The 27,266-nt window shown below is 42.5% G+C and overlaps 1 protein-coding gene across 4 annotated transcripts in view; it reads left to right on the top strand.

Annotated features, from left to right (window-relative positions):
• The window catches only part of ZDHHC9 (zDHHC palmitoyltransferase 9), a 40,599-nt gene extending 19,145 nt beyond the window's left edge, over positions 1–21,454 (top strand). For 2 of the 4 annotated variants that reach the window (NM_016032.4, NM_001008222.3), the window contains 7 exons: positions 905–1,063; positions 9,947–10,084; positions 11,017–11,065; positions 11,922–12,024; positions 13,233–13,336; positions 13,741–13,837; positions 18,256–21,454. In NM_016032.4, the coding sequence (NP_057116.2) occupies positions 905–1,063; positions 9,947–10,084; positions 11,017–11,065; positions 11,922–12,024; positions 13,233–13,336; positions 13,741–13,837; positions 18,256–18,372 (767 nt within the window). In that variant the 3' untranslated portion in view covers positions 18,373–21,454. Of the gene's footprint in view, positions 1–904; positions 1,064–1,339; positions 2,601–9,946; positions 10,085–11,016; positions 11,082–11,827; positions 12,025–13,232; positions 13,337–13,740; positions 13,838–18,255 lie in introns of those variants that run through there. The other 2 variants (XM_047442151.1, XM_011531348.4) reach the window with 2 other exon arrangements.

The following is a 27,266-nucleotide window of genomic DNA, read 5'->3' as shown; positions in this document are numbered from 1 at the left end:
TGAAGTTATTTTTAGTTTTTCACTATTAAAAGGAACTCTGTGACAAATATCCTTATATAAACATCTTTCGTATATCTCATTATAATTTTGATAAGTTTCTAGAAGTAGACTTGATCAGTAAATGAATATACACGTTTAAAACTTTGGTAGCTGGCTGGGCACGGTGGCTCACACCTGTAATCCCAGCACTTTGGGAGGCTGAGGCGGGCGGATCACTTGAGGTCTGGAGTCTGAGACCAGCCTGACAAACATGATAAAACCCCATCTCTATTAAAAATACAAAAATCAGCCAGGCATGGTGGTGGGCCCCTGTAATCCCAGCTACTCAGGAGGCTGAGACAGGAGAATCACTTGAACCCAGGAGGCAGAAATTGCAGTGAGCCAAGACTGAGATCCCACCACTGCACTCCAGCCTGGGCGACAGAGCGAGACTTCATCTTAAAAGAAAAAAAAAGTTTAGTAGCAGCTGCCATATTGCTCACTGATAAGATCTAAGAATGACCTTTCCCCACCCTTGCTAACATGGGGTATTTTTATTGTTTGTAATGTTTTTTAATATGATAGGTAAAAATGGTATCTTTGTGCTTTAATTTTTATTTCTCTGATTATTAGTGAAATTGGATGTTTTCATTTAATGTATTTTTAGCTATTTTTTTAAATGAATGTTTTTCTTTGTAATCAGAAAAAAAAGCCTCGAAGAAACACTTTTTCTTATGTATACAACAGAACTGCATGCACTTAGTGGAGTTTTATGGGCATATTCTGTGATGTTGAGTGTCTAGTCTATAAAAGACAGGGGGCTTGGGGAACCTTTGAATGCCCCCATTGGTTTTGGAGAGGTGGTGAGACTTTTGGGCTCAAGTGATGGCTAGCTGTGATATTAACTGTCTTTATTGATTTACAGAAGCTACCAATGGTGCGGTGCCCCAGGGCCAGCGACCACCGCCTCGTATCAAGAATTTCCAGATAAACAACCAGATTGTGAAACTGAAATACTGTTACACATGCAAGATCTTCCGGCCTCCCCGGGCCTCCCATTGCAGCATCTGTGACAACTGTGTGGGTGAGTAAAACTACAGGGACATTGCCTAGGGAAAAGGCTGAGTTGAACTAGAAAGTCAGGGTGGTCACCAATTTTGGGAGGAGGGAAGATAGATTTAGATGAGAAATGAACTAGATTTAGATAGGGAAATTTAGATAGGCAACAAGCTCCTGAAAAACTGCAAATCAGCTGTACTTGTGTAGATCAAATCAAAATTTAAATATCCTCTAGCCTAAACTTTACAAAAACCTCTTTAGTAAATGAGAAAAATAAACTTTACCTATTTTTGAAATTTAGATTTTCCTGTACTGGATTTTCATGTGGGACCCACCTTACATAGTGGGAGGAGACACCTAGTCCACTGGAGGGCAGCATTGAGGAAGGAAGGTCTGTCTAAGACGCAACCCAAGAAGAGGAAAGTTGCTAGCATTTATTGAGTTTCTACTACATATTGGGCACTGTGCTAAGTGATTTACCTTTCTCTCATTTAAGACTTGTAACAGCCCCATGAGATTGGTATTATCCCCATTTTACGGATGAGGAAATAGGTGAAGCACCAGTATGTAAGTTCACATAATTAGTATGAGATTAAGCTAGAGCAGGTCTGATTCCAAACTGCTTATTTCTTCTCTTTGCTGCTGCTGCAAGAGGGTCAGGTATATGTGTGTCTAATACAGTGGTCTGTACTTCCATCCACATATATGTGGCTTTGTTGTAATCACTGCCTACTGTGTGCTAAACCCTGGCCAAGATGAGAAATGGGCCATAAAGATTCCTGTTGATAGGCCTATATGTGAAATTGCTTATATCATCACTAGGCATACTTCTAATGTTCTTTTTAAAATTACTTTTTCTTGAGTTCCCATGATTGGATAATGTTTTTTCTGTATACCATGTGGCATCCTGAGGGCATTGCTTTCCTCTTACTAGCCATTTCTTTAGGCAAAGGTTGGGAGATATATATTGCTTTATATGGTAAAAGCTATATGGTGCTCTCTTCGGCAGCGTGTATACTAAAAAGCTACTATATGTATATAAGATTTTTATAAATCAAAACCCATTTTATTATTATTATTATTTTTTATTTTACTTTAAGTTCTGGGATACGTGTGCAGAATGTGCAGGTTTGTTACATAGGTATACATGTGCCATGGTGGTTTGCTGCACCTATCAACCTGTCATCTACGTTTTAAGCCCTGCATGCATTAGGTATTTGTCCTAATGCCCTCCCTCCTCACCCCACCCCCCGACAGACCCCAGTATGTGTTGTTCCCCTCCCTGTGTCCATGTGTTCTCATTGTTCAACTCCCACTTATGAGTGAGAACATGCGGTGTTTGGTTTTCTGTTCCTGTGTTAGTTTGCTGAGAATGATGGCTTCCAGCTTCATCCATGTCCCTACAAAGGACATGAACTCATCCTTTTTTATGGGTGCATAGTATTCCATGGTGTATATGTGCCACATTTTCTTTATCCGGTCTATCATTGGTGAGCATTTGGGTTGGTTCCAAGTCTTTGGTATTGTAAATAGTGCTGCAATAAACATATGTGTGCATGTGTCTTTATGGTAGAATGATTTATAATGCTTTGGGTATATACCCAGTAATGGGATTGCTGGGTCAAATGGTATTTCTGGTACTGGATCCTTGAGGAATCGCCACACTGTCTTCCACAATGGTTGAACTAATTTACACTCCCACCAACAGTGTAAAAGTGTTCCTATTTCTCCACAGCCTCATCAGCATCTATTGTCAAAGCCCATTTTATTTATTTATTTTTTGAGATGGAGTCTCACTGTGTCACCCAGGCTGGAGTGCAGTGGCATGATCTCGGCTCACTGCAACCTCCACCTCCTGGGTTCAAGCGATTCTCCTGCCTCAGCCTCCTGAGTAGCTGGTATTACAGGTGCACACCACCACGCCCGGCTAATTTTTGTATTTTTAGTAGAGATGGAGTTTCACCATGTTGGTCAGGCTGGTCTGGAACTCCTGACCTTGTGATCCACCCACCTAGGCCTCCCAAAGTGCTGAGATTACAGGCATGAGCCACCACACCCGGCTGTCGAAACCCATTTTAAGTGAAGCAGGAAACTTGATATTTAAAGAAGGTCTGGCCAGGCGCGGTGGCTCACACCTGTAATCCCAGCACTTTGGGAGGCCAAAGCGGGAGGATCACGAGGTCAGGAGATCAAGACCATTCTGGCTAACATGGTGAAACCCCATCTCTACTAAAAATACAAAAAATTAGGGGACGTGGTGGTGGGCGCCTGTAGTCCCAGCTACTCGGGAGGCTAAGGCAGGAGAATGGCGTGAACCCGGGAGGCGGAGGTTGTAGTGAGCCAAGATCGCGCCACTGCACTCCAGCCTGGGTGACAGAGCAAGACTCCATCTCAAAAAAAAAAAAAAGAAGAAGGTCTATACCCAGTAATGGGATTGCTGGGTCAAATGGTATTTCTGGTTCTAGATCTTTGAGGAATTGCCACATCTTCCACAATGGTTGAACTAATTTACATTCCCAACAACAATAGCGTTCCTATTTCCCCGCAACCTTGCCAGCATCTGTTGTTTTTTGACTTTTTAATAATCGCCATTCTGACTGGCATGAGATGGTATCTCAGTGTGGTTTTTGATTTGCATTTCTCTAATGATCAGTGATGTTGAGCATTTTTTCATATATTTGTTGGCTGCATGAATGTCTTCTTTCGAGAACAATGAGAACACATGGACACAGGGAGGGGAACAACACACACCGGGGCCTGTTGAGGGGTGGGGAAGGGAGGGAGAGCATTAGGAAAAATAGCTAATGCATGCTGGGCTTAATACCTAGGTGATGGCTTTATAGGTGCAGCAAACCACCATGGCACACATTTACCTATGTAACAAACCTGCACATCCTGCACATGTACCCCAGAACTTAAGTAAAATAAAAAGGTCTGATGTGAGGTAGTATTTCCTTTCCTTATTAATACTCTTAACTATAAGGAACTCATACAAATCAATTTTTTTAAAAAGCACTGATATTCCAGGAGAAATATAAACAGTTCATAACAATATAATTGGCTAGTTATCATGACTAATAGTCAAATAAATGATTTCAGGATGCTTTTGTTTTGAGATAGGATCTCACTCTTTTTCCCAGGCTGGAGGGCAGTGGCACGATCACAGCTCACTGCAGACTCAACCTCCTGGGTTCAGGTGATCCTCCCACCTCAGCCTCCCAAGTTGCTGAGACTACAGGCATGCACTACCATGCCTGGCTATTTTTTTTTTTTTTTTTGTATTTTTTGTAGAGATGGGTTTTCCCCATGTTGCCCAGGCTGGTCTCAAACTCCTGGGCTCAAGCAGCCCACCTGCTGCAGCTTCCCAAAGTGTTGTGATTACAGGTGTGAGCCAATACCCCCAGCCCAATATGCTTTTTTAAATCTAGAAAATTAGCAAGGAAAACCTGATGTTTATTCTTCCACTAGTAAGAGTGTAAATTGGAACAAACTTTTTGGAAGGCAATCTAATAAGATTAATCGAAAGCCTTAAAACATCTATACCTTTTGGTGCCAGTGGTTCACTTTCTAGGGAGTCTGTCCCATGAAATCAGAGATGTGGGAAAATATTTCGGGGTGGAAATGTTTAACTCAGGATTATTATGACAATTAAAAGTTGAAAAGAACCTAATTGTCTACCAATAGATGAGTAGCCAAATAAATTATAGAGCCGGGTGTGGTGGCTCACTCCTGTAATCCCAGCACTTTGGGAGGCCGAGGTGGGCAGATCACTTGAGGCCAGAAGTTTGAGACCGGCCTGAGCAACATGGTGAAACCTCGTCTCTACTAAAACATACAAAAATTAGCTGGACGTGGTGACATGTGCCTGTAATCCCAGCTGAGACCCTGGCTGAGGCATGAGAATAAAAAACCCATGAGGTGGAGGCTGCATTGAACCGAGATTGTGCCACTGCACTCCAGCCTGGGCGACAGAGTAAGACTCTGTCTCTAAATAAATAAATAAATAAATAATAGGACATTCGTACATTAGACTGATGGAAAGAGTTCATACCAGAAAGCTAAATGACAAAATGGGAGATAGGCTACATTTACAGTGTGAAGTCAGTTACCTATTTTTAAAAAATCTAATGATGTATAAAGAAATATGCAAGGAAATACAGGAAATATGCCACAATTTTTATAGTTTATTATCTATAGGTTGTGGGATTATGAGTGATTTTGTTTCCTTCATTTTTTCATATGCCATCCTCCACTACTGTGATTTCTTCATTTTTCCTTTTATTTTTTTCAAGTTTTCTACAATGAGCATGTATTACTTGTATTATCAGAAAAAATGTGATTTAAAATACTGTAAAAAATATATATCTGTATAACCATTCTTCTCTATACCTTTCTTCCCTTTCCTGAAAAGATGTAGCTTCCTCAGCAGGAGATAGACCATTTTTACAGCCTTATTTTTTCACCAGTACACAGCTCACTTTTCTTTCAAATTGATATATTTTATTCTTTTTTTTTTTTTTTTTTTTTTTTTGAGACGGAGGCTGTCTCTCTCTCCCAGTCTGGAGTGCAGTGGCGCGATCTCAGCTCACTGCAAGCTCCGCCTCCTGGGTTCACGCCATTCTTCTGCCTCAGCCTCCCGAGTAGCTGGGACTACAGGCTCCCGCCACCACGCCTGGCTAATTTTTTTGTATTTTTAGTAGAGACGGGATTTCACCGTGTTAGCCAGGATGGTCTCTATCTCCTGACCTTGTGATCCACCTGCCTCGGCCTCCCAAAGTGCTGGGATTACTGGTGTGAGCCACCACGCCTGGCCCAAATTGATGTATTTTATTCTTTTGTAGTCTTTTATTCATCAAAATAACACATGTTCATTGTGGAAAATATGGGAAGTGCAGAAAGTATAAATAAAACTTAATCCTAAATTCACTCTCCATTTTGCTATATTTCCTACTAGTGTTTCTGCAAAATTGGACTGTAACATGATAGTTTTTAATCCTGCTTTTGTCATTTAACATTCTATCCTGAGCGTTTTTCTACATCTTTAATAAATGTTTCTTTAATATATTATTTTAATGACTGCATAATCCATCATATGGTTCTATTCAAGTTTATTCAGGCAGTCTTCTGTCATTAGACATTATTCATTCTTCTATTTTATTCATTGTTGTAACACTGCAATCATAATTATTAAACTTAAGGATGTGGAACAATTGGAACCTTCATACATTTCTGGTGAGAATGTAAAATCATGCAGCTGCTGTGGAAAAGTTTGGTGGTTCCTCAAAAAGTTAAACATAGAATTACCACATGACCCAGCAATTCCACTCCTGGGTGTATACCTATATTAGTCTGCTTGGGTTACCATAACAAAATACCTCAGACTGGCTGGCTCAAACAATGGGAATTTTTCTCTCACAATTCTGGAGGCTGGAAGTCCAAGATAGAGGTGCGAGAAGGGATGGTTTCTGGTGAGGCCTCTCCCCCTGGCTTGCAGATGGCTGCCTTCTTGCTGTGTCCTCACGTGACCTTTTCTCTGTGCTCACACACTACTGGTGTCTCATCCTCTCCTTACAAGGACACCAGTCCCATCGGATTAGGGCCCCATCCAGATGACCTCATTTAACTTTAGCTACCTCCTTAAAGGTTCTGCCTCCAAGTGCAGCTACATTGGGGGTTAGGGCTTCAACATATGGAACTGGGGAGTGGGGGTACAGTTCATTCCATAACAATAGCCAAAAGAATTGACAACAAGGACTCAAAACCTACTTGTACGCCAGTGTTCGTAGCATCATTATTCACAGTAGCCAAAAGGTGTAACCAACCCAAGTGTCTATCAACAGATGAATGGTTAAACAAAATGTGGTATGTACATACGGTGGAATATTATCCAGTCATAAAAAGGAATACAGTACTGATACAATGTGGATGAACCTTGAAAACATGCTATGTGAAAAAAAAAAAGACACAAAAAGACAAATATTGTGTGATTCCGCTTATATGAGATATCTAGAATGGGCAAATTCATAGAGACAGAAGATTAGAGATTGCTAGGGGATGGGGAAGGGGGAAATGGAGAGTTACTGCTTAATGGGTGCAGAGTTTCTGTTTGGAGTAATGAAAGGGTTTTGGAAATAGATAATGGTGATGGTTCCACATTATGAATGTAATTAATGCCACTGAATTGCACACTTAAAATGGTTAAAATGGCAAATTGTATGTTATGTATATTTTACCATAATAGATTTTTTTTTTAAGACAGGGTCTCACTCTGTCACCCAGGCTGGAGTGCAGTGGCGTGATCTCAGCTCACTGCAACCTCCGCCTCCCGAGCTCAAGTGATCCCCCCACCTCAGCCTCGTGATTGGCTGGGATTACAGGTGTGCACCACCACGACCCACGGATTTTTGCATTTTTTGGTAGAGATGGGGTTTCACCATGTTGGCCAGGCTGGTCTCAAACTCCTGACCTCATGATTCCCCTGCCTGGGCCTTCCAAACAATACAAAATTTAATTTAAAAGTTTGAACTTCGGCCGGGCGCAGTGGCTCATGCCTGTAATCCCAGTACTTTGGGAGGCTGAGGCGGGCATTTCACCTGAGGTCAGGAGTTCGAGACCAGCCTGGCTAACATGGCAAAACCCCGTCTCTGCTAAAAATACAAAAATTAGCTGGGCGTGGTGGCGGATGCCTGTAATCCCAGCTACTCGGGCAGCTGATGAGGCTTGAACCTGGGAGGTGGAGGTTGCAGTGAGCCGAGATCGCACCATTGCACTCCAGCCTGGGTGACAAGTGTGAAACTGTGTCTCAAAAATAAATAAATAAATAAAAATAAAAATTTGAACTTAAAATTTCTGTGTACATTTCTATTTTCTTATGAGAAATTGCTGAAAATGGACTTATTCTACCAAAGGGGTACAAGCTTTATGAAGGCTCTTGATACGTACTGCCAAATTGCTTTCTGGGAAGGTTCTTTCATTTTATGCTCCCACAAGCAGTATGTTAGAGTGTCCATTTTACCCTATTCTCACTAGCACTGGATTTTATTATTTATATTCTTATTTTGATAGGCATAAAATATGCTATTATTTTACTAGTATTACAATGAATTATTGGTGACTAGGAAAAATATTAAATATAGGTTTTATGGTATTTATTAGTTTTTGCCCTATTTCCTTTTTGTTTGTTTTTTGTTTTTGTTTTATGTGCAGTCGACTCTTGAACAATGCAGTTTTGTACTGCATGGGCCCACTTAATAATGAGGGTTTTTTTTTTCCAATAAATACAGTATCAGTGTGTTCCTCATCTGCAACCAAATGCGGATCCAAAATACAGTCGTCCCTAAGTATCCTTGGGGGATTGGTTTCAGGGATTGCCCTTGAATACCAAACCCCATGCATTCTCAAGTCCTGCAGTGGCCCTGTGGAACCCATGGATATGAAGTCAGCCCTCTGTATCCGTCTCCAGGAGTTTCATATTTTGTGAATACCGTATTTTTGATCTAGGTTTAGTTGTGGATGCAGAACCTGTTGATACGGAGGGCCAACTGTATTTATTGAAACAAATCCATGTACAAGTGGACGCACGCAGTTCTAACCTGAGTTGTTCAAGGTTCAAATGTACAGTATTCACAAGATGCAAAACCTGTGTACATGAGGGGCAACTTTTCTTATCCGTGGGTTCTGCAGGGCTGCTGAATGACTTGAGTATGGGTGGATTTTGGTGTCTGCCTGTAATGCTTACCACAATCAAATGAACATATTCATCACCACACATAGTTACCATTGTGTGTGCATGTGTGTGTGTGGTGAGGACACTTAAGATTACTCTCTTAGCAAATTTCAAGTAACTTTTGACTATTATTTTCTTGACGAAGTATTTGTATTTTCCTATTGATTTCTAAGAACTTTTCATATAGTCAGGTACAACTTTACATAGATTGCCATTGTTTTTTTTTCTTTAGTCTTCTTTATGGTAATTTTAACATACACAAAATATTTTTTAAATTTTTAATTTTTTGTTGGTATATAGTAGGTATATATATTTATGGTGTACATGAGAAGTTTTGATACAGGCATGCAATGTGTAATAATCACATCATTGATCACCAAGGAAATGCAAATCAAAACCACAAAGTACTTTTTTAAAGTTTATGGAGTCAAATCTATTTTTCCTTGTCATCTGTTTTCTTCCAGTACTTTTATGCTTAGAAAGTCCTTCTGCATATAGAGGACAAATAAACATTTATTCTTTATAGTTATTTTATGGATTCACTTTGTTTTTACATTTAGTTCTTTAATTCATCTGGAATTTACTATGACAAGTAGTATGAAGACAAAAAAATCGATCCTTATTTTGCACCAAATAGCCAATTGTCACGTAATTGTTTATGGAATAATACTTCCTTTTACCTCTGATTTTGTAATGCTGAGTTTATTAGACAACAAAATCTTATATATTCTAAGATCTGTTTCTGGGCTCTTTCCATTCCATTGAACTATGCCATACCATTTTAAATATTGTAGTTTTACATTTTTCCTTGGCTATTTTGACCTGTTTATTCTTCTTGAACTTAGTAGGCCCACCGATTAAGATTTTATTTGGAAAAGCAGTGTCTCTGCTTTTAATGAGCTGAGTGAGGCAAATCACTTAACCTCTCCATGCCTTTGTTTCTTCATCTGTAAAGTGGGGAAAAGAGTATCTCCTTTTGCCCAAGTTCCAGGGAAATTGTGAGGATCAAATGAGATGGTTATGAAAACATTTTGAAAAAGTAAAAAAAAAAAAAAACCCTATATTTTTTACAACTGAAATAGACAATGATCCTGGAGGTCTTTGAATTAGGTATTATAGGGATGGTGGGGTTGATTTTTGTTCTGGAGGCTTTTGGCTTTGGACTCTCTCTTTCTCCCACAGAGCGCTTCGACCATCACTGCCCCTGGGTGGGGAATTGTGTTGGAAAGAGGAACTACCGCTACTTCTACCTCTTCATCCTTTCTCTCTCCCTCCTCACAATCTATGTCTTCGCCTTCAACATCGTCTATGTGGCCCTCAGTGAGTATACAGGGCAGTGTCCGTTGTTGGAGTGGGGCTGGGTGGGGGAAGAGTTAAGGGCAGCTTAGAGGGTTGTTGGGTTTCCTGGTGGTACCATTGTGAAAGGTACTTTAGGACAGGTTAGAAATGAGCACAGTTATCTGCTCTTGAGCAGGGTTGCAAACCTCAGTGCACATCAATGAGTATTAATCAGTGTGTTGGCCTTCTCTTTGGCCAACTGCTGGGCACTGGGGCCATAATTACTGGTCTGTATCCAGAGTACTGGGGCATTTCTGAGGTAATCCCAAAGGCTGGGGATGTATTTTGTCTCGGAGCATCCTCTCTTCTTCTGCCTTGTAAAACTTGCCTTGTGCTAAGGGGTAGAAAAGGGTAAGGGTTTTGCCTGAGAAATGTCTTTTTGTAGCTCATGGTCTAGTTTGGGAGATAGAAAGCACACCCACATATGTACATGTGCACAAACATACACACCCACACACACGCCAATCTAAGAGCAGATGTGATGTGGAGTTAAGGGAGTGGTCTTAAGACAGCTTTCTGGAAAGAGAAGAGTTCTGAGCTGGATTTTGAACAAGGGAGGGACACGTATTGGCAAGGAGAGAGGATTTTTCTTGGGTATTTCTGATTTCTTTTATCTGTTAATATCCCCCTAACATGTCCATAGTTGGGGGCTAGGGAAAAGGGAAGGGAGCCTGCTGCTCTTCTGCCTGCCTGTCTAGTCCAGGGCCTGGTCCTGCACTGGAAATGTGAACTCTTTAGTCATGAGACTACCAGCTAGGAGATGAGGCTCTTCACCCTTGCCCGAGTGAGAGCTTAGCTCTTGCCAGTGTGTAACACGGGAGAGGGAGGGAAGGAAGTGAGTAGGCACTAGGATAGTGTGTAGTTTTGACTGAAGTCACTAATTTTTCTCTCTACTCTTCCATCCAATTTCACAGAATCTTTGAAAATTGGCTTCTTGGAGACATTGAAAGAAACTCCTGGAACATATCCTCCGCTGGCAGTATGTCCCTGTGAAGCCTTCTTAAGCTACTTTCCAGCATGCTTTTTCCCCACAGTTCTCCCACTATCTAGTTTTTCAGATATCAGAGAGTGCCAAGGTCTAAAATAATTTAAAAAAATATAGTCTTAGTGGTAGCAACCAGAATGGAAGATGACCGGGACTAAAAGGGAGGTCTTTCCTTCACCCCCTGCTCAGGACAGTGGCTGCATTTCTGCAAAGGGGGTTCAGATGAGATTTCTATAAATCACATCCTCTTTTTTTTCCCCCACCAGTTCTTCATTTATGAATTTTCTTTTTTTGAGACAGAGTCTTGTACTGTTGCCCCAGCTCGCCTCCTGGGTTCAAATGATTCTCCTGCCTCAGCCTCCCGAGTAGCTTGGACTACAGATGCCCGCCACCACGCCCAGCTAATTTTTTGTATTTTTAATAGAGACGGGGGTTTCACCATGTTGGCCAGGCTGTTCTCGAACTCCTGACCTTGTGATCCGCCCACCTTGGCCTCCCAAAGTGCCGGGATTACATGAATTTTGTTTTTTGACAGAATTTCCATTGGCAGTGATGGCCAACATTGTTTAGCTTTGGCCCCTCCCATGCATCCCCTTCCAAGAGCCAATGATGGGTAAATAGGCACACCCTTAAATACCCTAGATACGCTAGAAATTCTTTCATAAGGGATCTATCCAGTAAGTTCAGAATTCATCTATTGTTATATATGGAAACATGGCTTTTTGTGATATACGTTCCAGGAGGTAAAGATGGTCTGACTGGTGCTCTGAATATGGGCGGAGGCATCAAGTCTCCTGATGTTGAGTTCTTCAATACTCCTTAACCACACCTCACTGTTCTAGAAGTCCTCATTTGCTTCTTTACACTCTGGTCCGTCGTGGGACTGACTGGATTTCATACTTTCCTCGTGGCTCTCAACCAGACAACCAATGAAGACGTGAGTCAACTTTCTCTTCTCCTCACCACATATTCTTCTTCCCAAAGCCTATCCTCTTGCTACCTGCTAGAGAACTACCGAGTCTCCAGGGCCTGGGAGGTTGAGGCAGGCAGAAACGTGGTATGCGAGGTTGTTAAGTCAGATGTGTGGAAGAGAAAGGAGAGGGCTTTGTTGAATGCTTGTGGAGCATTAGGAAGAAGAGGTTGAAAAGTTGGGTGGGTATACAGCCTTTAACTGTTCACAGGTCCTTAAAGGCTAGCTGGTGCCTCTGTTTGGCATGGAGAGGGACAGTTGCACTGGATGAATCCTTGCTATATAAAAAGTTACCAATTAGGCTGGGTGTGGTGGCTCACGCCTGTAATCCCAGCACTTTGGGAGGCTGAGGCGGGCGGATCACCTGAAGTCAAGAGTTCAAGACCAGCCTGGCCAACATGGCAAAACCCTGTCTCTACTAAAAATACAAAAATATAGCCGGATGTGTTAGTGTGCACCTGTAGTCCCAGCTACTCGGGAGGCTGAGGCAGGAGAATCACTTGAACCCGGGAGGTGGAGGTTGCAGCGAGCAAAGATCACGCCACTGCACTCCAGCCTGGACAACAGAATGAGACTCTGTCTGGAAAAAAAAAAAAAAAGTTAGCAATTAATCTACATTCACTGTAGAAAATCAGAAAATACAGATGAGCAAAAAGAAAAAAGTAAGTTCCTCTTACTTTACTTCTTAGACATCACCTTTGTTAGTAGTATGATTTATATATTCTAGACTTGTCTAGACTTTTTTCCATGTTTATTTATGTGTTTATATTATGTACTTTTAAATAAAAATAGTATATATCATTCAGTTATCTGCTTTTTTCACTCTATTGTGAGTATTTTTCATGGCTGTGTATGTATTTCTTTTTTGTTGTGATAAAATATACATGATATAAAGTGTGCTATATTAAATGTCTTTCAACCCTGGCGATCAATGGGGTGACAGTTGTTGCAGCCAGATCGCCCTCATATCCTAAATGTACAGTTCAGTGGCATCACATTGTTGTGCAACCATTGCCACCATCCATTTCCAGAACTTTTTTATTATCCCATGCTGCATGTGTTTCTTCAACATTATTATTATTATTTTTCTTTTTTGTGTCTGTTTTTAATTTTATTATTATTATTTGTTCATTTTAACATTATTTTTAATGTCAGCCTTGGTTTTTATCTTGCAGATCAAAGGATCATGGACAGGGAAGAATCGCGTCCAGAATCCCTACAGCCATGGCAATATTGTGAAGAACTGCTGTGAAGTGCTGTGTGGCCCCTTGCCCCCCAGGTGCTCAGGGCACTCAAAAGTCCTGGGACTGTTGGGATGAGCAGCTCAACCTGATCCTGTTACCTTGTCTGATGTGTTTTTCTGAGTGTGGCCTCTTGGTGTCAAATAGGTCTTTCCAGGGCTTGCCACTTGGTACCATGTCTACATGGACCATAGACCATGGGCTGGTTGTTTTGGAGGGATGATCTTTCATTCTTAATTTCATTTGTTTGTTCCCTGGTTAATGTGACATTTCCTGGTTTGTGGAAGAAAAAGTGAATGGGAGATAAGAGGCATGTGCTGTGTTCAGGCTAGATTGCCAAAGGACAGGTTTATATTTTCCAGTCTATGCAGCAAAATTCCGTAGGCCAGGTGGGTGGAGGGGTGAATGCCCAGTTCTTTGTTAACTCTCTTATCTCCTTCAGTGTGCTGGATCGAAGGGGTATTTTGCCACTGGAGGAAAGTGGAAGTCGACCTCCCAGTACTCAAGAGACCAGTAGCAGCCTCTTGCCACAGAGCCCAGTAAGTGTTCCTGACTTAAGGCTGGGTCGATATAGAGAGGGCGGAGGCTAATTTACAGCTTGGAAATATAATTAGGCAATATTGTATTCTAATCACCCCAGCTTCCCTGCCTCTACACCTGCCCTGATGTTGCCTTCAGATCTTTGTGTCCTTGATGTAGATTAAGATTTAGTCATTTCTTTGGTGTATATTGAGTGACTCTGTGCCAGCCACTGTACTAGCTGCCAGGGTTATACCAATGAATGAGGCAAACGATGTCCCTGCTCTCAAGGAGCTCATTGTCTAGTGGGGGCAAGAAACAAGTAAACAGGCCATTGCTCAACATTGTGAAAAGTGCCTTGATGAGGAAAGCATAAAATGCTATAGGGGCAAAGACAGAGGTCAGGGGATTGTATTAGAGTTAGTGATGTGGTTACTGTGGTAGAAGGGGGCTTCCTAACTGGAATATGCAAAAGTTGTGGAAACTCTCCCAGCTGTCCTATTTAAGATATATAAAGTATATCTTTAAAGTATATAAAGTACTTTCCTAAAAAAAAATATTACTTGAGCTTTTTTTTTTGAGATGGAGTTTTGCTCTGTCACCCAGGCTGGAGTGCAGTGGTGTGATCTCGGCTCATTGCAACTCCACCTCCCAGGTTCAAGCAATTCTCTGCCTCAGCCTCCGAGTAGCTGGGATTACAGGCGCCCGCCACCATGCCTGGCTAATTTTTGTATTTTCACTAGAGACAGGGTTTCACCATCCTGGCCAGGATGGTCTGCATCTCCTGACCTCGTGATCCTCCCGCCTCAGCCTCCCAAAGTGTTGGGATTACAGGCGTGAGCCACCGTGCCCAGCTGAGCTTTCTTTTTTTAATAAGAACTTTATTGAGATATGATTCACATACCATAGGTCCCAATTTTTTTTTTTTTTTTTTTTGAGACGGAGTCTCGCTCTGTCACCCAGGCTGGAGTGCGGTGGTGCAATCTCAGCTCACTGCAACCTCCGCCTCCCGGGTTCTCCTGCCTCAGCCTCCTGAGTAGCTGGGATTACAGGCATGTGCCACCACGCCCAGCTAATTTTGTATTTTTTAGTAGAGACGGGGTTTCTCCATGTTGGTCAGGCTGGTCTCGAACTTCTGACCTCAGATGATCTGCCCACCTCAGCCTCCCAAAGTAGAGGATTACAGGCGTGAGCCACTGCGCCCAACTGATCCCTATTTAAAATGTATGATTCACTGGTCTAGAATATTCACAGAGTTGTACAATCATTATAACAATCAATTTTAGAGCATTTTCGTTACCCTTCCACCCTAAGAAACCCTGTAGCCATTAGCAGTCACTCTCCCTTTCCCCTGAACTTCCCCAGCCACACCCCTAGGCAACCACTAATCTACTTCCTTTTAGTACAGATTTCTCTCTTCTGGGTATTTCATGTAAATGAAATCATACAATATGTGGTCTTTTGTGACTGGCTTCTTTTACTTAGCATGTTTTCGAGGTTTGTCCATGTTGTACTATGTAGCAGTACTTCGTTCCTTTATATGGCCAAATGATATTCCATTATATGGATATACCACATTTCATTTATCCATTCATCAGTTGATGGACATTTGGATTGTTTCCACCATTTGATTATTATGAGTGATGCTGCTATGAACATTTGTGTACCAATTTTTGCATGGCCATATATTTTCATTTCTCTTGGCTATATACCTGGGAGTAAAATAGCTAGGTCACATGGTAGCTCTATGTTTAACCTTTAAGGTACTGCTGAACTGTTTTCCAAAGTGGCTGCACCATTTTATACCCCCACTAGCAGTGCCTGAGGGTTCCAGTTTCTCTACATCCTCTGCAACACTTATTATCTGACATTTTGAGTCTAGCCATCTTAGTGAATGTGAAGTGGTATCTCATTGTGGTTTTGATTTGCATTTCCCTGATGACTAATGATGTCGAATATCTTTTCATGTGCTTATTGGCCATTTTTATGTGCTCATTGGAGAAGTGTCTGTTCAGAGCTTTTGTCTATTTTTTAATTGGATTGTTTGTCTTTTTTATTGTTGAGTTGTAAGAGTTCTTTATGTAATCTGTATGCAAGTCTCTTACCAGATATACAATTTGCAAATATTTTCTCCTATTCCATGGGTTATCTTTTAATTTTCTTGATAGTGTCCTTTGGAGCACAAAATTTTTAAATTTTGATGTAGTCCAGTTTGTCTATTTTTTTCTTTTGTTGTTTGTACTTTTTGGTGTCATATCTGAGAAACTGTTGCCTAATCCAAAGTCATGAAGATTTATGCCCTTGTTTTCTTGTAAGAGCTGTACAGTTTTGGCTCTTACATTTAGGTTTTTGATCCATTTTGAGTTAATTTTTATATATGGTGTGAGGTAGAGGGTCCACATTCTTTCTTTTGCCTGTAGCTATCCAGTTGTCTCTGCACCATTTGTTGAAAGGACTATTCTTCTCCCATAGACTTGTCTTGGCACCCTTGTTGAAAATCTATAAATGTGAGAGTTCATTTCTGGACTTTCAGTTCTATTGTATTGCTCAATATGTCTGTTCTTATGCTAGTACCACGCTGTCTTGATTACTTTAGCATTGTAGTAAGTTTTGAAATCAGGAAATGTGAGTCCTCCAACTTTATACTTCTTTTTCATGATTGTTTTGGCTCTTCTGGGTGCCTTAAATTTCCGTATGAATCTTAGGATCAACTTGTCATTTATGAAAAGAAGCCAGCTGGAATTTTGATGGGGATTTCATTGAATCTATAGATCAATTTGGGGAAATATTGCCATCCTAACAAGATTAAATATTCTGAGCCATTTACATGGACTGTATTTTCACATATTTAGGTATGATTTGATTTCTTTCAACAACATTTTGTAGTTTTCAGAGTATAAGTTTTACACTTTTGTTACATTTATTCATAAATATTTGATTATTTTTCATGTTATTGTAAGTGAAATTGTTTTACTAATTTCATTTTTGGATTTTTCACTTGGAGTGTATTGAAAGACAATTGATTTTTATATATGGATCTTATACCCTAAAACCTTGCCAAGCTTGTTCATTAGTTCTTTTTTGTTTGTTTTTGTTTTTATTTTATGAGATGGAGTTTCGCTCTGTTGCCCAGGCTGGAGTGCGGCAGCGCCATCTTGGCTCACTGCAACCTCCACCTCCTGGGTTCAAGTGATTCTTCTGCCTCAGCCTCCCAAGTAGCTGGGATTACAGGTGCCCACCACCACACCGGCTAATTTTTGTGTTTTTAGTAGAGACCGGGTTTTGCCATGTTGGCCAGGCTGGTCTCAAACTCCTGACCTCAAGTGATCTACCCTCCTCGGCCTCCCAAAGTGCTGGAATTATAGGCACGAGCCACCGTACTCGGCCCTTGTTCATTAGTTCTAATAGATTTTTAGTAGTTTGAACTTTGTTTTAAAATAGAATCATACTTTTTTTTTTTTTTTTTTTTTCTGAGACGGAGTCTCGCTCTGTCGCCCAGGCCGGACTGCGGACTGCAGTGGCGCAATCTCGGCTCACTGCAAGCTCCGCTTCCCGGGTTCACGCCATTCTCCTGCCTCAGCCTCCCGAGTAGCTGGGACTACAGGCGCCCGCCACCGCGCCCGGCTAATGTTTTGTATTTTTAGTAGAGACGGGGTTTCACCTTGTTAGCCAGGATGGTCTCGATCTCCTGACCTCATGATCCACCCGCCTCGGCCTCCCAAAGTGCTGGGATTACAGGCGTGAGCCACCGCGCCCGGCCAGAATCATACTTTTAAGTGAATTCTTTTTATAAGGTAGATAATAGTTCTCTACTTTGCCTTTCCTAAATTTTGAATTTCCTTTTAAAGTACAGCAACCCGTGTTTATATATTATTGTTGTCATTTTTAATATTATTTTTTAAATGAGTCTGGACTCAAATTGTAACAATCTAGGTTAGTTATTCTTGGTTCAAAGTGGAGAAGGGTGGTATTTTAGAATCACTTGGGGACATTTTCAAACCACATATGACCAGCTGAAAATTTGGACACTTGGCCTTCTTTGGTTCAGAATCACTATTCTAATGAGCTGTGTGTTCGGGCAGAAACACGATTGAGGACCATTGGGTCAGGCCTTGTTACATAAGTATGTTATGACATTTGTTCTGAAGTGGGGAGGACCTGTGTAATTATTTGTGATTCCTATTATTATGACTATTAATAATAATAGAAAAATCTGTCCCCAACCAACAGTTAAGGATCAAACTCAAATAAACTTCAGTTGTGTTCTGCCGAGAAGACGATAGCTTGGTGTTGGTTCTGAGTTTGGTGTTGGTGGCTGCATATCTGTAGCATCAGTGTGATCAGGGGGCTGAGAGGAAGAGTTCAGTGTCTAAGGTTTATCTGCATTTGGATTTTGAGGAACAGCTTTGTGTTGAATCTCATATCTTTTCCTTCTCAGGCCCCCACAGAACACCTGAACTCAAATGAGATGCCGGAGGACAGCAGCACTCCCGAAGAGATGCCACCTCCAGAGCCCCCAGAGCCACCACAGGAGGCAGCTGAAGCTGAGAAGTAGCCTATCTATGGAAGAGACTTTTGTTTGTGTTTAATTAGGGCTATGAGAGATTTCAGGTGAGAAGTTAAACCTGAGACAGAGAGCAAGTAAGCTGTCCCTTTTAACTGTTTTTCTTTGGTCTTTAGTCACCCAGTTGCACACTGGCATTTTCTTGCTGCAAGCTTTTTTAAATTTCTGAACTCAAGGCAGTGGCAGAAGATGTCAGTCACCTCTGATAACTGGAAAAATGGGTCTCTTGGGCCCTGGCACTGGTTCTCCATGGCCTCAGCCACAGGGTCCCCTTGGACCCCCTCTCTTCCCTCCAGATCCCAGCCCTCCTGCTTGGGGTCACTGGTCTCATTCTGGGGCTAAAAGTTTTTGAGACTGGCTCAAATCCTCCCAAGCTGCTGCACGTGCTGAGTCCAGAGGCAGTCACAGAGACCTCTGGCCAGGGGATCCTAACTGGGTTCTTGGGGTCTTCAGGACTGAAGAGGAGGGAGAGTGGGGTCAGAAGATTCTCCTGGCCACCAAGTGCCAGCATTGCCCACAAATCCTTTTAGGAATGGGACAGGTACCTTCCACTTGTTGTATTTATTAGTGTAGCTTCTCCTTTGTCTCCCATCCACTCTGACACCTAAGCCCCACTCTTTTCCCATTAGATATATGTAAGTAGTTGTAGTAGAGATAATAATTGACATTTCTCGTAGACTACCCAGAAACTTTTTTAATACCTGTGCCATTCTCAATAAGAATTTATGAGATGCCAGCGGCATAGCCCTTCACACTCTCTGTCTCATCTCTCCTCCTTTCTCATTAGCCCCTTTTAATTTGTTTTTCCTTTTGACTCCTGCTCCCATTAGGAGCAGGAATGGCAGTAATAAAAGTCTGCACTTTGGTCATTTCTTTTCCTCAGAGGAAGCCTGAGTGCTCACTTAAACACTATCCCCTCAGACTCCCTGTGTGAGGCCTGCAGAGGCCCTGAATGCACAAATGGGAAACCAAGGCACAGAGAGGCTCTCCTCTCCTCTCCTCTCCCCCGATGTACCCTCAAAAAAAAAAAAATGCTAACCAGTTCTTCCATTAAGCCTCGGCTGAGTGAGGGAAAGCCCAGCACTGCTGCCCTCTCGGGTAACTCACCCTAAGGCCTCGGCCCACCTCTGGCTATGGTAACCACACTGGGGGCTTCCTCCAAGCCCCGCTCTTCCAGCACTTCCACCGGCAGAGTCCCAGAGCCACTTCACCCTGGGGGTGGGCTGTGGCCCCCAGTCAGCTCTGCTCAGGACCTGCTCTATTTCAGGGAAGAAGATTTATGTATTATATGTGGCTATATTTCCTAGAGCACCTGTGTTTTCCTCTTTCTAAGCCAGGGTCCTGTCTGGATGACTTATGCGGTGGGGGAGTGTAAACCAGAACTTTTCATCTATTTGAAGGCGATTAAACTGTGTCTAATGCAAACTTCCTGCCTCCTCCTTCCCCCTTCCATTTCAAGAATATGTTTGTGTGTAGGGTGGGGGTGGGGGTTGGAAGGGGTTGCTTGTTACTCCCCAAACTTCCATTAACCAGGGCACCCTTGGGTTGGAGAGGTAGTTCCAAACTCTCCATTGATCTATACTACATTCTGGGCTGAAGGTTTTCTTATTCTGGACTATGAAGAAAGGACTTTCAAGGAGATATAGTGTGAACAGGATCAGGAAGGTAGAGGGATTATATTTACTTAAGAGAACAAGCTCTATATTAGGATATTGTTTTGAAGCAGATGGATGCCGTTAATTGCTAATAAGTCTTAGTTATTAACGCAGGCTCATCAGGGCCCCCCCTTGGAAATATTTGATCAGTGGTCTTTTACAAGTGATGGTATATATTTCTTTCTAGGTGGTGTATAATCAAGACTCCCTATCAATTCCCATCTCATACTTCCCAGTTAATTGGAATTAATGAAATTTGGCTGCTCCCAGACCTTTTTCCATGTCTTCCTTTTTCCTTTTAACAGGATTTAAGTTGAGCATTCTTGAGAGAGAGAGAGAGAGAGAGATTGGAAGAGAGATGGGGAGAGACTGACTCAGATCCCTCTCCTGTCTGCTTCTTTTTCTGGTTCTCTCAGTTTTTTTTCTTGAAGTTATAAAGCCAAACCTGGAGAATTTGTAAGTTGTTAGGTTTCCCCAGGTAACTTGGCACTCATATGAACCCCATTTTAATAAGTACTCAGCCCATCTCCTCTCCTGGGCTCAGATGGCTCTCTCTCCTCCCTCACCTTACCTCAAGTGTTCTCCTGAGGACCCTTAGGTCAGACAGAGAAGCTTTCTCTTTCTGATGGGAAGGGTCAAAGTGGAAATCTCTTATCTCTAGTGTGAAATGATTTTCTGCTTTTTCATACTCCCTGCCCTCTTTCTTTTCCTTAATAAATCTTCCATGTTTAAGATGTTGGCCTGAAGATCTGTCCCATTCATACCATGCACCAGCTGGGACTGTCCCTATCTGATCAGAGGGGAGATTAAAGAATCAATGTTCCCAGGGGAAAAGGGCCTTAAATTGTTTGGTCTTTTCAATGGCTGACACTGTCTCCAACTCTCCCCTTCCTCCTTCTTCCTCAAGCTTCCTATGCACCCTACTTTCCCAGGCCAGGATGGTTGGCACTGATCCCAAACCTCTGGGGGCAGGTGGAAATTGGCTGTGGTGAGCCATTTCTTCATGTCCATTCAGCTCTGAGGCCTTCCTGGCCCTAGCTGAGATCATCATCTCCTCCTTTGCTTTTACCCCAGGAGTGAGGTTGGGTTAGAGGTGGATTCTGATTCCGTAGCAGCTAAATTCCATTCTCCCTGTCCTGACCATCCTGCCTTTACCCATAAAGCACCCGTTCCTACTGACCAAATCTCTTTACTTTGTTGGAGAAAAAAAGTATTTTGTTTTTAAATCTATTTTCTAATTTAAATGCAATTTAATATGTAAATCTCTGCACTTTTGTGTGAGCCTACAAATGTGTATGTGTTGGGGGTTTTTCACTCTCTGGTATTTCTTAATAAAGAAATCTTTCTTTTGGGGGGAAGCCAATTAATGAAGGAGCCTTGAATGGTTTTAGAAATACAGGGCTGTCTGTTTCTTTGTGCTTCTGCCTCATTTCTTTACTTGTGCCTAGTGTGAGTGATTGGACTCCCTCCCCCACCTTTTGACCCCCTTCCTCTGAGAGGGCCCTCAACTTAGTGGGGGCAGAGAGAAGGACCTGTCCTGTATCTGGTACCCCTCTGGGACCACTTGGATTGGCTCTAGTAGTAACCTAGCAACCCAGCCCCCTCCCCTCTCCCCATGGCCTGGCCCTGTTAGTCCTTTTCTTCCAGCTCAGTTCATTTTATACTCCTGAGTTGGGGCCAGGCCAGGGGAAATCACCAAGGGAGCACAGTAAATGGTTTTAAAAAAATGATAATTCGTTCTCATGCCTTGGTGCTACTAAAGAAGAGTCATGTTCCCAGTAATTCAAAAAGCATTTGTGTCAGTTTGGAGAATACATTCTAGGAATCTCTTGCTGTTCTTGGTGATAGGCTTTAGAAACAGTGTCAAAGGCTACAACTCTGAATATCATTTGTTTTAAAGGATGCAAGCCCAGCTCACAGAAAAAAGAATCATTATAAACTTTATATTTGGGATTAATATGAAAGGGCAATGGGAACTGCAAATCTACATCAGTAAAACTTTCAATGTTCTGTACGTTAATGTAGGTGGAAAAACCTGGTATAATTAGCTAGACCTAATTATTTTACAAATGAACACAAAATGTTTTTACAGTTTTAATATATACACTGAATTTCCAGGAATGCAACAACTGTGTACATTGGCGGAAGAGGATATTTTATTTTGTTCAAAACTTTACTAAGAGTTGCTCACAACTTTTGAAAATCATGTCACTGACGACAGTGCCATTCATGGGTATTTAAGTTGCCAATATAACATACTTGTATGAGTCTTCATTTATAGAGATTGCTTGCACAGTGATTTTATAGTCTAATTAGTATATTATATTACTATTCTTGAAATTATGTACATAAGCAGGTCATATTAACTATAAAGTTCATTTCAGGGTGGCAAAAGATGCATTCAAAATATGACATATACCAAGGGAGTGCTAGGGCTGCTAGTTTTGAGGACCACTGGACTAGATTATCTCAAGGGTCCCTTTCTAACCCTTAATATTTGGAAAGCTTGGAGAGAAAATAAACATCCTCCTCCCCTCACACCCTTAATGTGCTTTTTTAAAAATTTAAAGCTCATTTTTGAAAATTGGAGAAGTACAGAATAGTAAGATTTGAAAAAATCACCCATAACCTCATCACCAAGATGTAATAATCACCATTAATTAATGTTTTGGTGCATTTCTTGGTAGTCTTTTTTTCTGTGCACATGTTTTTTTTAAACATAACTGGAATTAGACTATAAATGTAGTTTTGTAAACCTGCTTTTTTAACTTAGTATTTTCCATATCATTAGAAATTATTTGAAAATACTTTTTTTTTTTTTTTTGGAGACAGGGTTTCACTCTGTCACCCATGCTGAAGTGCAGTGGCGTGATTTCAGCCCACTGCAACATCCGCCTCCCAGGCTCAAGCAGTCCTCCTGCCTCAGCCTCCCAAGTAGCTGGGTCTACAGGCACATGCCACCAAAGTTGGCTAATTTTTTGTATTTTTTTGTAGAGACTGGGTTTCGCCATTTTGCCAGGCTGGTCTCAAACTCCGCACTTCAAGCAATCCACTTGCCTCGGCATCCCAAAGTGTTGGGATTACAGGCATGAGCCACTACTCCGAGCCGAAAATACTTCTTTTTTTTTTTTTTTGGAGACGGAGTCTTGCTCTGTCGCCCAGGCTGGAGTGCAGTGGTGCGATCTCGGCTCACCGCAAGCTCCGCCTCCCGGGTTTATGCCATTCTCCTGCCTCAGCCTCCCGAGTAGCTGGGACTACAGGCGCCTGCCACCACGCCCGGCTAATTTTTTGTATTTTTAGTAGAGATGGGGTTTCACTGTGTTAGCCAGGATGGTCTCGATCTCCTGACCTCATGATCCACCTGCCTCGGACTCCCAAAGTGCTGGGATTACAGGCGTGAGCCACCGCGCCTGGCTCAAAAATACTTCTTAATGACTTTGTAATGTGTACATGTCAGGCATTTAAGAGTTTCTAATTTTTCATTATTACAAATAATGCTGTGATGAACTTCCTTAAATATGGGTGTGTCTGTGAGTATTTCTTTAGGATAGATTCCTAGAAGTGGAATTATTGAGTCAAAGGGAATGCTCTTTTAAAGGCTCTTGATAAATGTGGCCAAATTGCTTTATTGAAAGGCCGTCCCTGTTTGTTTTGCCAGCAGTGTATCAGAGAAGACTCTAATCAACCCATGTCATTTAAACCTTTCGAATTTTTATTTTAGCTTTTTTGAGACAGAGTCTCGCTTTGTCATCCAGGCTGGAGTGCAGTGGCACGATCTTGGCTCACTGCATTCTCTCCCTCCCGGGTTCAAGTGATTCTCCTGCCTCAGCCTCCTCATTAGCTGGGACTACAGGTGTGCGCCACCACACCTGGCTAATTTTTATATTTTTATTGGAGACGGGGTTTTGCCATGTCAGCCAGGCTGGTCTCCAACTCCTGACTTCAAGTGATCTGCCCGCCTCGGCCTCCCAAAGTGCTGGGATTACAGGCGTGAGCCACCGTGCCCGACCTAAACCTATGGTAATTTGATAGTTGTAAACTTATATCTCAGTGTTAGTTTATATTTATTTGATTAATAGTGAAGTTAAACACTTTCTGCACCTCTCCTCTGCCTTATGTTTATTACCATTTGTATTTCTTCTGTAAATTGTCTGTCCTAATCTTTTGTCTATTTTTCTTCAGGCATTAAGGGGTTTTCTGATTGATTAATAAATTAGAACTTAGAGCTCACACTTCACCACGGGCCAGGAAATGAAGGGGCCCTTGATTTAGAAGTGGCTTTACAACTTTAGAATCTAGAGTAGAATTACCTCCCTGACATTCCAAGCCCTTCACTTTCTTCACTCCCCCACTTGCCTTCTCACTGCTTTTTCTGCCAGCCCCTGCCCATCTCCAGCTGTTTAGCTGTTCCAACTTGGTTAAAAGGGTTGGGGTTTTCTGCCCAAATACGAGACATGATGATTATTCGTCATAAAACACAGATTCTGTTGAACGACATAGCTTAAAGGAACATATTGATCATGTAGTCTATGCTTCTCTCTCTCTCTCTCTTTCTCCCTCAAATTAAATACTGTAACTTAGGGTCACATAGAGAGTTACTGTCAGAGCCAAGACCAGAACCCAGATGTACTGGCTCCCAGTCTAGAGAGCTTTCTGGCATAACCGACTGGTCCTCTGTCAAGCAGGTGTAGATGGATAAAAGAGTTAGAATAACTGCAAATGACACTTGAATGAAATGAAGCTTTCATTTATTTAACATTCAATAAATACTTGTTGAAGATTGACTGCATGCTAGGGTTAACTTTAGGAGAAATTGCAGTACCAACCCTCGTAAGTTGAGAAACAGCAATGATTTTTAGGATTATTTGCCATTTGGGATGAATATTACTGATAAGCTCTCCATTTTAGGCATACAGAGGACTTATATATAGTCGGGCTGATATGAGGCTGGTTGTTGGATTTTTGTTTTCAACTTAACTCTCTTAAGTCTCTCTCCAGACCCCTGCATTTAGGTTGAACTGATGATGTGGTTTCTTTAGCACAGAAAGTCAGGAAATTGCCTTGCTAAGTTCCCACAGTCAAGTTGGCTGTCCCTTTGTGAGGGCCATTGCTCTGGGCTCTTTCTGACGCTATCCCTGGCAGGTCCCAGAGGCAATGGTATACAAATGCTATATTGGTTACTGTGAAGTTATAGGAAAAGGTGAAGCCTACATATCAAGTGCTATAGAATTCCATTTATTTAGGTCCTTCCTGGAGGAGGAGTCTTGGCTGAGTCTAGAGGGGAGGCAGTTCCTTCCCACTTGATTGTGTTGTTGGCTGAATAATATGTAATATGGCCAATGTTGTGTGAGAAGCTATGGTAGCCTCTATTGTGAAGGAGAGGTGGGAGAGCCACTTCTTTTCCCCAGTGGGAAACCTCATACCTCATCCTGAATTTCCTGACTTGGGAGGGGGGAAGGGCCTTGTTGGGCCTTGTTGAGACGATGGTGATCAGTGCCTATTTTTCCCGTAAAACACCTCGTTTAGCCTTTGTTTTAATGCCTAGGTCTCTCATGGCCCAACTGTGGGCGGGGAGCTCTGTGAGTAGGAAATGAGAAACTGACTCATAGGGGCTGGGGCCTCAGTGCCATGTATCAGATCACAGTGCCATAGGGTTTGGGGTTTAGGAGAGGGAATTTGCAGAGGCCTTTGGGGGGCGGATCAGAACCTGCTGGGGTAGTCTAAGGTCAGGTTGTGAGATACAGAGGAAGCAAGTGAGAGAGGACATGGTTCAGTTGGGCTGTGCTGGTGCCTCCAGCTGCTTCTCCTGATAGGAAGGAGACACAGAAGGTGGCTCTAACTCTGAACTGGTGAGGAGCTGGCTAGACTCAACTCTTTCTTCTGAAATCTGGTCTTTATTCTCTTCTTTCTAGCAGCTCCTGGAAGTCCAAGAGAGTTGCCTAAAGTAAGTCTAATGCCCAGGGCTGATCAACTTGCTGTGGACTGGGCAGAGCCAGGGCTGCCCCAGGCTCCTCAAGTGGGTTTTCTTTCATCACCAGCCTCTCTGGGTACCAGAGTTGGCACCCTTTACCCCTGAATCCCAACACCTCCTGGGGACCTGGACATCAGTGGTGTCTGGGATATGACAGGTCTGAACATCAGTCAGTCCTCAGACAAGCATGTACCGACATGGCCTTTGTGCCCAGTCTTGAGCTCAGTGCCTTGGAGTTTACAAAAAAGTCGAATAGCCGCCATTTAATGTCCTATGTGCCAGGAACTTTGTACGAGTTATCTGATTGATTTCTCTCATGACCCCCAAGAGGTAGGTATTATTAGATCATTATTCCTGTTCCACAGAAAAGAAATGTATATGTATGTACTTTACCCAATGTCATATAACTAGTAAGTGGTGTAGCAAGAGTTTGAAAACACTTTATTTGAACTCCAAGGCCTTTTGCTTTTGGTCACTTCACTATACTAACTGGGAGTCAAAGGTCAGATGGGCCTTGAAAGGAGTGAAATGGAGGTAGCAGGATGGAGCAAATCGAGGCAGCCAGACACACTATCACTCCTTGAGCATTTATTTTGTGCTGGACACTGTGCAAAGGACTTTATGCTAGTACATTAAATCTTCATAACAGCCCCATGGGGCTAGTGCTAGTATTCCTACATTATTGTCGTGGAAACGGAGGCTCAAGGAGGTTAAATGACTTGTCTAAGGTGACCCAGCTAGGAAGTGACACAGCCAAGACTTGAACTCAGGTGGGCCTGAGCTCCTAAGTGCTAGGCCTCAACTACCCTAGAGAAGCTTCTGCTTGCTCTCCCCAGGCCCTGGAGAGGCCCACGGGCAGAAGAAGAGCTTGCCTCATCACCCTTTTAGACCAGCCTGTCCCCACCCTTCGAAGGGGAGTCAGCTAGAGGCTACAGCTCTCTGGGCTGCTGACATCCCAGGCTGGGGTGGGCGTGTAAGGTCTCCAGCTGTGAAGAATCAGCTCTTTGCACCCTAGACCTTGGTTGCTGGATTCAGGGCACCACTTGGCATCTTCTAGAAGTACATGGGGCAGGACAATAGGTGTCAGCAGCCCTGCCTGGAGGAGGAGCTTTGGGCCCTGTGGCCCTCCTCAGCACTGCCTTTCTTGCCCCTTGGGCCCTGGCCTGTTCTACATTCCCTTGATGCCCCGCCTTACCTGCCCCTCCCAAACTACTGTGATCCTTGGGGTCCTTGCACAGCTACCTACCTCCAGCCTGTAA

Source organism: Homo sapiens, chromosome X, assembly GCF_000001405.40.
Source record: "Homo sapiens chromosome X, GRCh38.p14 Primary Assembly".
Lineage (NCBI taxonomy): Eukaryota > Metazoa > Chordata > Mammalia > Primates > Hominidae > Homo > Homo sapiens.
The sequence above is the reverse complement of the archived record's forward strand: the minus strand, read 5'-3'. Positions and strand labels throughout refer to the sequence as shown.